Below are 15,103 nucleotides of genomic sequence, written 5' to 3' on the forward strand. Positions count from 1 at the left end.
TAAATATTTACTTAGGATGAGAAAAGAAATCGCCAAAAATATACATTTGAAACAGCTAACAAGTATCACAAATATCTCAGGAAAAAAAAACATATTTTATTAATCAATTTTTAAAATTAATTAACATTCTGACACATCTCGATGGTATATTTTTTTCCTACCGTTTTTTCGGCCTGCATTCTCTTTGATCAACAATTTTATAATGTCATTTTCTATAGTGGGACTGAAAAGATCCTTCCTCTAGCATGCATAAAACATGCAAATTCACACTCAGATGAATTTGCTGAGTGACGTACTGCTACAGATTTGTGCCTTACAAACATATGAATTCTCATACATTCTGTTTCTCTTATTCCTCATCAAAAAGGAAAAGGAAGTATGGTATGTTTATAATTGTATGTTTTATGTTAAATATATTCCTTATGGGAGATGATTTCCATTTTGACTATGCATCAATAATAACCTATTCTACATTAATAATTTTACATGTCTAATGACTGGAAGAATTTCCATAGACTAGCTTCTGGTTTCATACACTGCAAACCATTTTAATTCTCTACAACCCTTTCGAGGTGCCACTGGATACATGCATATGTCTATAGAGACTCTGGCCTTGCGGTTTCATGGCTTGCATGGGGGTAGATTGATATAGAAGGCAAATCATTTCTGCAAGCCATCAATATGGCAAGCATACAACTACACACAGAATTGACTACAAATACATTAATGCATCCCTCCAAACTCAAAATGAACATATCCACATTCAACCTGTCTTTACCCAGATCCCAAAAGTGTCCATAGCCTCTCTAACTCCAACTGACACTAGAAGACTTATGGTGGAGAGGAAGTTTGAGTGGGAAGAGACAGTGTTCTCAACAAATTGTAGCTAAAACCTTTGGGATCTTCCAAAGTACAGGACCACATTCCTAAGGTTTAGGGCTTAGGAAGGCACCCATGCAGGCAAAAGGCCATGAAGATCAAGCTGTATCAGTGTCAAGGTAAAATGACTTCTTTTTATCAGTGTAAATGTTATGGGATATTAGAGAAGGGAGAGATGGGTGCATTTGCTGGATGGATTACAATGGGGTACATCTTTTCATTTTCTTCTTAAATGATATTAAGAGCTGGGGTTCAAAATCTAATAGTCTTAGCCCAATCTCTTGAAGCACAGTGTTCCAAATAATGGAAGAGGGGATCCATGTCTCTTGGGTCTCCCCATAACTCCATGTCTACCACCTAGTAGGACCTAGCAGATAGATCTCTGCACAGAGATCTGATAGATGGGAAATGGATGAGGGCTGCAGCTCTTGCTGTGAGGATCAAACAAGGTAATGGATATGGAAGTGTTTTACAAATAGAAAATTTCTGTAGCAAAATATGTCTAACAAAAGAGTTCAGTTTGGTTGAGATGCTCCCTATACCATTGATTGAGGATAATCGTTAGTATTTTTGGAAGACATCTTCCCCACCCAACAAATCAATTTGAAAGAGGCACACCACTTTTAAGAAAGACTAAAGTCTCTTGCCATCTTCTGTTGTCTTCTGTCATCAGGAGATTGTGAAGAATGGGTGGGAAAAATTCTTAAACCATAGTCCAGGTTTTATATAACACCAGTATTTTTAGACATGTGCCTGCTATGAACTGAAGTGTATTTTGAAAACTTAATAAAAAGCAGATATTAACCCACAAATGTTTCATTTTAAAGTGAGATGAATCTTCTTCCCTGCCCCATCACCAACCCTCTGCTATTCTAAGTCTCTTATTCTAGCCAGGATTTTTATTTGTTTAAGGTGACTTAGCAAGGTATCTATATTGAAGTAATGCATCAGCCAAATGGGAGAACTGCTTTATCAGATACTGTGCAAGTGACCAAAGACTCTTCACAGAGAAGCTTAAATAAAAAAGAGAATATTCTTATTGGATTATATAAGTTATATAAATGGAAACTCCAGAGTTAGAGGCTCAGGCACAGCTGGGTTCAGAGACACATGTGATATCGCTGGGACCTGGTCTCTCTCCCACTCAGCTCTGCTCCGTCTGGTGCCAAGGTGGTTGCCAAGAGCTCCAGATCTCCATCTTCTTGGTTTTGAGTACATGGGAAAACAAGAGAACTTCGTCCTCAAAAGCCACAGCAAAGTTATCATTGTGACTCTGAGCTCTGATAAGGTCGTGGACCCATCCCTGAACCTATCGCTGGGGACTTCAAAGTGTGATGATGTCCCATTGGTCAGGACTGAGACATGAGTCTGCCATGGTGGGAAAAGGATTGCCAGTCCCAATCTGAAAACACAGATGGAGAATGGGAGAAAGGCGGTCCTCCAAAACACAGATGCTGGGCAGGATGTCCACCAGCCAACCACCAACCCAGGGCTGACCCCACTCCAAGCCAGCTTTGAAACAATTGTTCTATGACTTAGAACCAGGACTCGGTTCTAGCACACTCACTAAAAAAAAAAAAAGGTCTCTGAATCATCCCCTATGGTGGTCAACTGGCAAGAGAAAGGAATCACTTCAACAAAGGTTTATCTTAACCAATCTACCCAAGCAAAGGTGACAGCACCAAGTCCCCACATCCATTGTGTGTGTGTGTGTGTGTGTGTGTGTGTGTATGTGTGTAGATATACAGAATGTACTTTTTCATAGATGGCTGTTAATTACGATTCTTCACCAAGGTGGTATAAACAGATCTCTGCCAATAGAAACTTTTAATTAGATTTATTAATTCCAGAATGTAGTTGAAATGTGGTGAATATTGATTGTAATGGCCTCTGTTTTAAATATAATTAATTCACGATCTGCATAATTGCTCATTACCTGTATCTTAATTATGGGGCATAAAACATTGTTTATCACTAACATAGTCCTAATGGGGAGAGGAGCTCACTCTGATAACTTAGGATTCTTGGTATTTTTGTTGAAGAGAGCAATGAGACATTTCATTTTCTTTAGAGGGAGAGAGAAAAAAAATAGAAAGCTGTGTCTCCAATGACAACCAGTATGCACAGACAACCTGATAAACACAGGGCATTTATGATTCTTTTATGACTACATTTTCTGACAAGATAAAGTAAATACTCTTTTGTGGGACTTTACAACTGCACAAGGCTAAAGCTACTGTCCAAGAAAACTGAAAAATTTGAGTATAAATATACTAGTGTGTTTAAGGCTGGCTCATGGGCAATGAGGATATCCTAGCAGCTTGACAATTTTCATATAATACCATGAAGAATTTCATGGTTTTTCTTCATCTTACTGCTAGTACCAGCACAATACATCTTTTCTAGAAAAAAAAATTATACAAATCTATGGCACTTTCTGTTTTTTCCCATATACCATAAATCCTAAAGATAGTTCATGTGCCTATTACCGTTAGCATTTTTTTTTAAGTCCGAGCAACAAAACCTGAAATATGCCACATATACAAAAAAAATCAGGTTGCCAGGAAATCTGAGTTAGGTGAGATTTTAGTGGTTTTTGATTCTGTCAGGTTTTTTTGGGGGGGAATTTCTTTTACAAAGACTGTGGTCTGTGGACATCCATCTGTGCCTCTTTGTGAGCTCAGCACTTTTCCAGTGGGAAAGAGTTGTGTACCTGTTTATAGGAGCTTGCAAATGTCATCTATGGTAACTGACTTCATTTGGTTATAGAAACAAAGCAAGATTAGCGAGAAGAAGACACGGTACTTTTGGGCCACCTTTTCCTAATGCTGCTTAGCCCTGTAGGGGAAGCTGGGGAAGGTAACCAGTAATTTTAGATCATCTTCTCAAAGTAGGGAACTCTTTACAACAGAATTTCTCACAAGCCCTCATCATTGACAATGCATTTTTGTTCATATTTTTTAATGCCTGCATACATGTCACAGAATACTACTACATGTCCTTAATCCTAAAACCAGTTGGCTGCCAGTCACCTGAACTTGATGATGTAGTCACTGTAATAATCCACCAAATAATGCATGACAGTGAGCTATTTACTGAGGACAGTAAGTGGATTGGTTTTATCTAAATGTACAAATCTGTATTAGGTCCCAAGAAGCTCTGAAAATTGAAACAAAAACTGAAGAAAAAATGGACAGTCGGGAAAAGGGAGAAACATGTTTTGCTGCACTAAAAGCCAGAAAAAGAAGCCATTGCATATTTTTAGCAAAATGCTTAAATTTCATCCATGTACATTTCCTCTGTCTTCAGTTAAGTGTGAGCGACCGGTTAATAGTATCTAGGTTTCTGACAAAAAAAGCAACAAAATAGGAGCTAATTCTGGATAAAGGAAAACACTATGTTCAAAGCAGGTGCTACTTCCCTCATACTGATCATCAAGGAAGAAGCCTGTAATTTCTCTGAATAGAAAATCTCTCTTTGTCTAGCCCCCAGTAAATACATGCTGACAAATATTCACATGCTGTCTGAAAGGTGCCCAGAAGGTGCACGTTTTCTGTCTGGGTCCCCAGTGAGCGAGGAGCTCCATGCCTCTGGAAATAGGGCTGTTCCCTCCGAAATGGGAACTCAGTCTGGCCAGACCCCTAACATTGTGAATTACTCTGCTGAGCTACCATGATAGTGCACTATGGACGGGCTGGTTTAAACAACCAACATTTATTTTCTCACAGTTCTGGAGGCCTGAAGTCCAAGATCCAAGTGTCAGATGTGGGCAGAGTTGGTTTATTCTGAGGCCTCTCAGCTGGGCTTGCAGACGGCCACCTTCTTGCCCTGCCTTCACCCTCTGTACCTGTTGGTGTCCTAATCTTCTCTTCTTATAAGGACATTGACAAATCAGAATAGGACCCACCCTAACGACCTCATCTTAACTGAATTACCTCTTTAAAGATGCAAATACAGTGACATTCTGAGATACTGGGGGTTAAGACATCAACATATGAATTTTGGGGGGAGGGCACACATCAGCCCATCACAAATAGTAACATGAAAAACGTAAGCAGAGGTATGGAAAACTGCTCTGTCAATTATAAACTATTAGATAAATACAAAAGAACGTCCCCACATTCCCTCCCAGTGCCCACACTAAAGGGTGCATTTTGAGCAATGGTTCTCAATCGTGTGAGTTGTTGTGGTGGTGGGGGGGGAAGTTTTTTAGGGGACACTTGGCAACATTTGGGGACATTTTTGGCATTTCTGGTTGTCACAGGTGGAGGGGGTTGCTACTGGCACCTAGTGGGTTGAGGCCAGAAATGCTGGTGCTAAACAAGCCACCATGCACAGGACTGCTCTCTGCAACAAAAATTACCCCATCGCAGATGTCAATAGTGCCAATGCTGAAAAACCCCAATCTAGAAGGATCTGCCCCCTTTCCTTTCCTTTTAACCTTCTTCTTCTTCTTTTTAAATCAGTGCTCTCACTTTCATGGAATAACCTGCTTCTTGAAGGCAGAAGAGAATGGCGTCTGAAAAGGAAAAGGGAGCAAAGCCTCTTCCAGGAGGCTGCTCCCAGGAGCCGCAGAGCCTGCTAGCGGAGCTCCTGTGTGACCTGCAAGCCACCACCATGCCCAGGCTGCCTTAGTGCTTCTCCAAGATCATTTCTCTGAAGTTAGCGAATGCTCCACTTTTCCCTCCACCAGAGTTATGATTGCTTTACTCTTCAGTTTTCTGGAAAGCTCCTCTCAGTGTCCAAAAAGCTAATAATGAAATGGATGCCTGTGACCAGGGGTTACCTCCATGAAGGCCTTGGACAGCTGGGGAAATAATTCTGCTCCCTGCATCCAACCACACAAGCATTAGGCCTGCCTCATTTCCCCTCCCCCCTTCCATTTCATCCTCTGTTACATCTAAATTTAGCCCTCTCCCCAGTGACCCAGGGAAAGATCAAAGCTCTCTTTGCATTCCTGCAATCTGGAGAGGAGGGAGCAGAACAAGTCCTGAGAGTAAATGGGGCAGGAAATGGTAGAAGCAGAGAGGGGGGAGGCACACAGGGATCTCCAGGGGCTGGCCGACCCCAGGGATATCCCTGGAGACCAGAAGGCCCAGGGAATTGAAGGGGAGGTCTTGCTCCTCCATGTTCTAGGTCTCTGGAAGTGTCAGGGGGGTGAATACCTCCTTCCAGCAGACAGGGCTCTACTCAGCCCACATGGTGAGATCACTGGCTGGGCCCCTTGGCTCAAGCCTCCCACCTCAGGGTCCCTTCACCCCACTTCCCCACTCAGCAGATTCCCTGGGGCCTCCCTTCCAGTCCTGATGAGGGAGGAGAAACCATTTGTCTTCTGACTAGCAGAAACAGAGCCTCTGTCTCAGGCTGGGTTCCCTGGGACGGGCTCAGGTGTTGAGTAGCAGGCAGGTTTTTGGGGAGAACCCCCTGTGAGGAATGGAGGAAGGCAACAGGGGCAGAGGGAAAAGCTGACAGCAGCGCCTCTTGAGTGAGGCCTCGGTTGGTCCCTGGGGCACTCTGGGGTTGGGTGGGGCCTTCAGAGCTGTTCCAAATGGAGGCAAGGGGGCTGGGCCTTTGTACCCTATGAGTTCATCCCAGAGAGAGGTGAGCCATGTGCCCTGTTGCAAGCTGGGGCATCCACAGGGGGTCATCTGGGCAGAGCACCTCACTATTGATACTAGCCTCTTTGACCAATGCAATGGAGAGTTTTAAACTCAGACAGGTGCTATCCGTTGGCCCTCCTCTGGCCATCTCCCCAGATAACAAGTAAGCATCAGAGGGAAAATGCCCGTTTATGGTTTGACTTTCACTGAGAAATTCACTTTATAATCATATCTTTGAGAAGCAAAGGTTGCACTGGGAAGGGGCCAGGGAGGGCTGAGTTGGGGCAGGCCTTCCCCGGGCCTCACACGGATGGGAGACTGCAGGCCTGGAGTGCAGGCTTGGAGGGTGGGAGACCACTGTGGGGCAAGTTGGGCAGGAATGGAATGGCCACAAACCTCCCCAGACTTGAGTCAAATCGCTCTTTTGTGAATTTTGTGGTTCAAATAAGTGTTTTCTGTTTTCGTTGTTTTTTTTTTGAGACGGAGTCTCTCACTGTTGCCCAGGCTGGAGTGCAGCGGTGCGATCTCAGCTCACTACAAGCTCCACCTCCCGGTTCACGCCATTCTCCTGCCTCAGCCTCCTGAATAGCTGGGACTACAGGTGCCCGCCACCACGCCCAGCTAATTTTCTGTATTTTTAGTAGAGACGGGGTTTCACCATGTTAGCCAGAACGGTCTGGATCTCCTGACCTCATGATCTGCCCACCTCGGGCTCCCGAAGTGCTGGGATTACAGGCATGAGCCACAGCACCCAGCTCTGTTTTCCTTTTTGTATTTTGAGACAAGGTCTTGCTCTGTCACCCAGGCTGGAGTGCAGTGCGATCACGGCTCACTACAGCGGTGACCTCCCAGGCTCAAGCAATCCCCCCTTCTCAGACTCTCCAGTAGCTGGGACTACAGGCATAGGTGGGACTACAACACCACACTCAGCTAATTTTTAATTTCTATTTTTTGTAGGGATGGGGGTCTCACTCTGTTTCCCAGCCTGGTCTCAAACTTTTGGGTTCAAGTGCTCCTCCTGCCTTGGCCTCCTGAAGCGCTGGGATGACAGGTGTGAGCCACTGCACCTGGCCCAAATAGACATTTTAATGCAAGTCATCGTGAAGTGGAATAAAGATAGTTAACAACTATGGTTAAGAGGCAATGTGTGCTTATCAAATGCCGGGCCCTGCTGTGAGCAGTTTCTGTGTGTGACACTCATTTATTCTCTCTGTATCCTATAAGGTAGATATGACTGTTAATGTCTTGGTACCTTAACTTCCCACCTATAAAATTGGCCCAAGCAACTTGTTGGAGCGACTTAACCAAGTAAGCAGTGGAGCTGGGCTTTGGCAGAGGCTGCCTGTTGTTGGCTCCTGCAGATTGGGCCACTGGGCGGCCCTCCCTCCCATGCTGAGAACAGGCTGAAGGAGGTCTTTTGACTATGACCCTGGGATTCAAATTTTCAACATCCAAGAGTAGGGACAGGAACCAATGTCCTGTTTTGTAAACCAGGAAACAAGCTTAGGGAGTGTCTCACAATTACTACTGGTACAGAGGCCAGATGCCAGGGGCTTTTTACAGAAAATCATGCTGCCCCATGCTGGGCACTAACATTCATAGGTCCCTTGGACATCTTTGAATGAATGATAAAAATGCAAGTTTCTGTTGCTGTAAAATATTGTTCAGTAATAGTATATTATGTATTCATATCATAGAATTCCAAAGTGGGAGAGGGCCTTAGAAAATATTGGTTTCTTCTCTATCCTTGCAGAGTGAGAAACTGAGGCACAGAGAGGAGAAGTCACTTGCCTAAAGCCACACGGCAGCTAATTACAGAGCCAAGATTAGGTTTCTGGATTTCTGCCTCTTAGTCACAGTCCTATTCGGGAAGCAAACTGTTTTGGAGGATGGGGAAAGAGGAGGAGATTACTTGGCTATCAGTGAAATTGATCAACAGAGTCAACATTTAATTAAAAAATATATCAAAACCTTTCTTGATAATGATCGACCTGTTACACTGGCACAATTAAAGTGGTGATTTTATTCACTGAGTTACTGCCAACTCCTATGATTTTTTTTTTGTAATACCCTTGTGATAATTCAATTGGAAATATGTGGTAAGATGCAGAAATATAATGCCTTTTCTTAGGATAACTCATGCCACAGCCAACCAGGGAGTTGATCTGATGGGTCCATTGCAGAACTGAGGTCTCCTTGGTGCCATCCTATCTCCAATGGCTCTAGAGGGACACATCAGGGACCTTAGACAGGGCCCATATTTGAACTGGTGAAACGCATCCCCATGTGTTCAACAGCACTGAGGCTGCTGCACGTTAGAGGTAATTAGGAATAGGCGCTTTTTAAGATTTAAACGATAACTTTTAAAAATTAAATTTTCACTTAAAATTTCATGAGACAGAAGGACAGCTACTATGATATAAATGCTTGCATCTCCTCTAAATTCATATGTTAAAATTCTAATCCCCAGTGTGGTAGTTGTAGGAGGTGACGCTTTTGAGGGGGGTGATTAGGTCATGAAGGTACAGCCCCAATGAATGGGATGAGTGCCCTCACAAGAGGCCCCAGAGAGCTGCCTTGCCCCTTTCCCCATATGAGGACACAGCCAGGAGGTGCCATCTTTGAATCAGAAAGCAGGCCCCTGCAGACACCAAATCTGCCTGTGCGTTTATGTTGGACTTCCCAGCCTCCAGGACTGTGAACAATAAATTTCTGTTGTTTATAAGGCACCTGACTTACGGTGTTTTGTAATAGCAGCCTAAAAGGACTAAGATGACAACACCCCCACTCCGCCAACTTCCTCATCCCACTCTGAGAATCTTCCAAGGATGGACAGCCTACAGCTCTCCAGGCAGACAAGCTCACAGAACTACTGGTGGTGGCTGCTTCTATTCTGATGAGCAAAGGCCTAAAGCCATGTGGATCTTGCACTTTGAAAGTGAAATCATGAGCCCTTAATCACTGAAAAACATAATTGATTCCCATTTCTCTAGTTAGGTGTCCTGGTACACTAATGCCTCAACACAGTTTGTTGGGGGGTGGATGAGAAAGAATTCCATGATCAATTAAATTTGGAAAATGCTACATACAATATTGCCTTCTTGGACTCACATACTAAAAGCTCTGGGATGTTCTGAGTCAATGAATCAATTTAATTTTTGGTTCATCATTTTCCAATTTATCTGACCGCAGAACGCTGTCTTCATGCATACCTATGAAAAACGTGAAGAACCCATTTTCAAAAACTCCTAATTGGGCAGAACTAGACTGAAACTGATTATTAATCAAAGGAGGCTTAGGCAATAGAATGAACAATCTGCCAGGGGTCAAAAGACCCGGATTCTGGTCTAGACTCTTTCTTTAATTAGCTGTGTGACTTTGGGGAAATCACGTTCTTCTGGGCCTTGGTTTCCTTGCCTATAAAACAAGAGACTGAAATTAGATCATTCCAAAGGCCCCTTACAGGGGCGATATACAATGATTTTTCTGATTTGTGAAGACTCATCTGCTGGTAGGCTGTCTACTCTCTCCTTACCTATCACAGCTCCTGTTGGCACCTGCAGGGCCTGCAGGGTGGCCTGGAATCTGCTCCAGGCCGGGGGAAGTGCATTATAATCCTTGAGGACATTCGGATAGGATTGTTGTGTGTTCCTGGCCCACCATAGGCTGGTGGCTGTGCCAGTCAGTCTCTCTCTCTCTCTCAGAACTCTTCCCTCTGTGCAGAATTTCATGGTAAGTATTATGGGATGACGCAGGAGACCTGGACCCTCTACCCTCTGCCCCTAGGATTGTGAGTGTCGAAGGGGAAATAAGCCAGGTCCACACACAGATGCAAGTGATCACACGCAGCAGTGGGTGTCGACAGGCCAGGTGCTTAGCGAGATCTTAGAGGAAGCTTCCTCCTCAAGGTCTGGGTCATTGTAGAGACCTCATGGGGCATGGAGGACTTCACAAAGCCAGAAAGATTTGTTGAATTCAGGGGTTCAGGGGCCTGGATAGAAATGAGGATGGTCTCAGTAATGCTAGGACAAAACAATACCAAGTATGGTTAGCGGCTGGTGAGTCTCTCTGCATGAGCATAAGTAGGCAGAAGGAGTGGGAAATCAGGTGGGGCCGGGGGCTTTAGACAGAAGACAGCAGCCTGTGAATGCCAATGCAATCAGGCTCTAGGGTCACACAGGCAGTGGGTATCCATTCTTCAGGAAAAAAGAAAACTACAAAATACTAAACATAATACTAGAAATAGAATAATTCAAACAAATATGATAATAAAGTAAAAGTAAGCTCTTTCTGCCTCTTCCAGAAGATCAACCAATAAGACAAGTTCCCATAGAGGTGATTTAATACACTGTCATGTGCAATGTTTAACATCAGTAATAATAAATCGTAAAGGGGGCTAATGCTTTACATGGTGGAGCATAGAAAGAGGAGTGAGAGGCTTAGATGAGGAAGGGAGATGGAACCTCTGCCCTGTGAAAGACCGCAAGGGGTAGCTGGGCACTCCTGCGGGAGCTTTCCTTTCATTCTCATAAAATGAGAAACAGTGAGAGTAAACAACTGTTACGGTAAATACTTAAACAATGATTAAAAGACAAAGGCTGCTGACATCAGTCTTAGTAGAGATGCTACTACATATGAGTTCTACCGTCAGAGGGCCTAGAGCCACTCTTTGGAGGCACCTGCTTATTTCTCCTGCCTGTGTGCTTCCACTTAGGAGTCTAGACAACCATGCTCACAGGGTCTGTCTGCAGGTCACTGGATTGAGCAAGGACTCTCAAAATCAGGAAAGACTTCCTTAGACACCCTCTCTTGGGTTCTTTCTCCTTCTTCCCTGTGTTCCAGGTTTTGTGCTCAAATCTCCAGTGTTCATTCCCAGTGTCCTCCTTCCCCGCTATGCACTGTCTGCTAAAGGCCTTCAGGAGTGTCTCATAGTGGTCATGGTCACTGTTCCACTCACCTGGTGATAAGTAGAAACCTCCGGCCAAAGTCTCTGGGCACAAACCCCAAATACCATCCTGGGCTTTCTGTTAGAATGCCAGGTGGATAGAGTGTGTGTGTGTGTGTGTATCTGCAACAATGCCTTTGCTTCCAAGTGACAGGAGCTCTAACTGGTAAGAACAACAAAGGGGATGTATTGGCTCATGTAGTGGGAAACCCACTTGTAGAGAGGACTTTAGGGTCACTGCAATGCTTTTCTTTCTGCCTCTCTATTCTGGCTGCTAGGACGTCAGCTTCATTCAATGGCCGCTTCCTCTCTTTGAGAGAAAGATGGAAGCCAGCAAATCAGCTGGAGTATGTTTTCTTCCCCAGGAAGGTTGAGATTGTGAGAGAGAGAGAGAGAGAGTGTGCTTCTGTTTTAGAAGAGTGAGAAAGATCCTTTTACAGAAGCTCCAGGAAAAACCTCTTTTCATATCTCATTGGCCTGAAATGGAACCCAAAGTCATTCCTGAACCAATCACTGTGGCTAAGACTAGGGGGCTGGGCTTCTTTTCTTGTCTTGCCAATCAGCACCTACCACCAGGTGCTGGGGAATTGGTCAATTCCCAGTACACATTTAGTACAAAAGAAGGAGAGGAAACTCTGCAGGGGAAAAGAAAGGATTTTCAGTAAAAGTTTAAAATGGGTGCTGGAAAGTCAATCAGGAGCTGTCCCAGGACAGGAGTTTGACCCTATGAAGACTACTGCCCAATCATTCATCATTTCTGAAACTCTTCTTATACATACAAGCCCTTAACTGGGCCCTTGTGTATGTGCCTAGATCAGTTACGATGCTTCTGGCTGCAAGTAACACAAAATCCTGACTCCATCTGTCTTAAATAACCAGAGAACGTGGAATCTCACATTCGGAGTAAGGACGTCTACCGGAGACAGCCCAATGAGCTGCTCAGTAGTCAACAATGGCCCAGGTTGTTCCCGTCTCTCTTCTCTCTTGTCCTCACCATCTGTTTCATCCTAAGTCTTCTTTCTTTTGTATTTTCGAGGTGACTGTTGCATCTCTAGACATGACAATCCAGAATAACAAGGAGAAACCATCTCTTGTGATTTTTCCCTTGGAGAGAGGACATTTTCCCCAAAGCACCTGGGCTGAAATCCTATCTCCACCACTCAGTGGCAGGTGGCCTCAAGCAGCATCAAAGGGATAATAATAGTCCTTGAATCCTTATGAATATCAGTGGAGTGATCCCGCTGAAGTGCTCAACACCAGCCCTGGTACACTGTTGTTCTCAGAAACGAGGAGCTTGACTTGCCTGGTGTGTCCTGCTAGTTGAAGGTGTTTCCATGCTCTGGCATGGATTGTCTCCGAGTATCCCAGTGTTCAGTACGCCTCTTTCAGGTGTCTACAGCCAAAGTCAAGGTCAGAAAATGAAAGCTTTGGGGGCTTCTCTCCCTTTTGTTGAGCCCTTTGATCAATCTCACCCTCCACAGTTCCTCTACTTATTAACCCTAGGGTGGCCACTTTGCTCTAATCATCATGTTTGCTGAAAGGCCCCAATCTGCAGTTCCCTGTCTGAAAAAAAAAAAAGAAAAGAAAAAGGAAGGAAGGAAGAAAGAAAGAAAGAAAGAAAGAAAGAAAGAAGAAAGAAGGAAGGAAGGAAGGAAGGAAGGAAAGAAAGAGAGAGAGAAAGAAAGAAAGAAAGAAAGAAAGAAAGAAAGAAAGAAAGAAAGAAAGAAAGAAAGAAAAAAAAAAAAAAGACAGGCTAACAATATATGTGTCGGGACCTATTTTTAGTGCTTTACAAATCAGATCTTCCCTCCCGGCCTCCTCCTGTCCCTCAGGACTTTCAGATTTACTACTTAAATATTTATAAACTGTTACAATTATTTATTAAAGGTTTATGTTGTTATTATATTTAGTGTGGAATATGCATTTCGTCCTCCAAAAATAACAGGACTTTCCATTAAACGACATCTGTTAATGATGCAGTAAATTGACTCTTAAAGCAATAGAGAAAGTTCTCTTCTCCTTTGACAACCCTAAGTACCCTTATTTAAAAGTAGAGGCCCTACCTCACTGGAAAATACATTACTTCTGACTCCCCAAATGTTACTCTATGCAGATTTAGGAAATTTGTAGTGCTTACACAGAGAAATTTTACCCTCAGCTATCACCATCTAGTCAAAAGCAACAGATGCCTTCGTAGTTGGTAGCCCTTCCTTTCCTCCAAGGCTTCTGTTGGTGCATAAATGTGCACACACATGTGTGCATGTGTATGTCTTTGTGTGCATATGTGTGCACACACGTATGTGTAAGAGAAGCCCTTGTCTCAGCTCAGATTTATTTGTTCATTCATTCAGTTTAATCCACTCTGTGTTAGGTGTCAAACTTAAGGAAATGGATAAGAAACACTGCCCTGAGAGATTCACAGGACTAACAGAAGAGCAAAAAATAAGTAATAAAATATCAATGGTACATAAAGAATTATTAAGCAGTGTAGATGTACATGTGCAATGCCATGGAAACAAAGAAGCACTAATTTTGTAGAGGGATTTTTTTTTGATGTACATGTAGCTCTATGTGTAATAGCAAGGCTTAATTTGAGAAGAATTATCTGGCTTTTTTCTTGGAATGGGACTTGCCTTCCATCACTAGGTTGCTAACCCATCCATCTGCCAGTGTTACCCAGACCATGGTCTAGCCTGGTGGTTCTCACCCAGGGGAGGTTTTCCTTCTAGAGACATCTGGCAATCTCTGGAACCATTTTAGGTGATGAGAGGGTGCTACCGGCATTTAGTGGGTAGAGGCTAGAAATACAGCTAAGCACCCAGCAATGGCCAGGACAACCCACACACCAAAGAGTTCTCTGGCCCCAAATATCAGGAGTGTCCAAGTTGAGGTTGAGAACCACTGTCTTGCTCAAAAGGGTCCTGTGGGGGTGGGAGTCATTCTGAACAAGGCCAGTGAAATTGGCCTGAGTTTCTTGGAGGAGAGCTGAGATTTGACCTGGAGAGACAGTTAAGGGTCTTAAAATGACCACTGCCCCTTCCTCTTGACTTGGTGATTTACCATCCAGAAATCTGCCTACGAAAAATTGGTCAGAATGGCTGATACCGAATTATGCACAGAGATGCTCCAAGCTACAAGAGAAACAGGAACAAAAATAATAAAGTTAAAAACAACCTAAATGGCCAACACTATAGGTTGGCTCAATAAATTAGGATATATTTTTAAGATTTTAAAGATGTCTGCAAGTAACTTTAATGACATATACAATGCATGTAATTTTAAATTCAGTGAAAAGGAATGTCCCTTCCCCAATCTCTCTTTTTGTCTCACACACACAGAAAAAAGGATGGAGAGAAATAAACCTATGAGTTAATACCTGTTAGTAGATGTTGGGATTAGAGATACTATTTGTTTTTAATTTTACTTTAATTTTTCGGTATTCTCTAGATTCTCAAAAATCAACAGAAACAATTTTCTTAGTTGTTTTCATTTTTTAAAGATTATTTTAGACTGGGCACGGTGGCTCACGCCTGTAATCCCAGCACTTTGGGAGGCCGAGGTGGTTAGATCACTTGAGGTCAGGAGTTTGAGACTAGCCTGGCCATCATGGCAAAACCGCGTGTCTACTAAAAATATAAAAATTAGCTGGGCATGGTGGCAGGCACCTGTAATCCCAACT

The sequence above is a fragment of the Homo sapiens genome, chromosome 19 (genome assembly GCF_000001405.40).
Source record: "Homo sapiens chromosome 19, GRCh38.p14 Primary Assembly".
Lineage (NCBI taxonomy): Eukaryota > Metazoa > Chordata > Mammalia > Primates > Hominidae > Homo > Homo sapiens.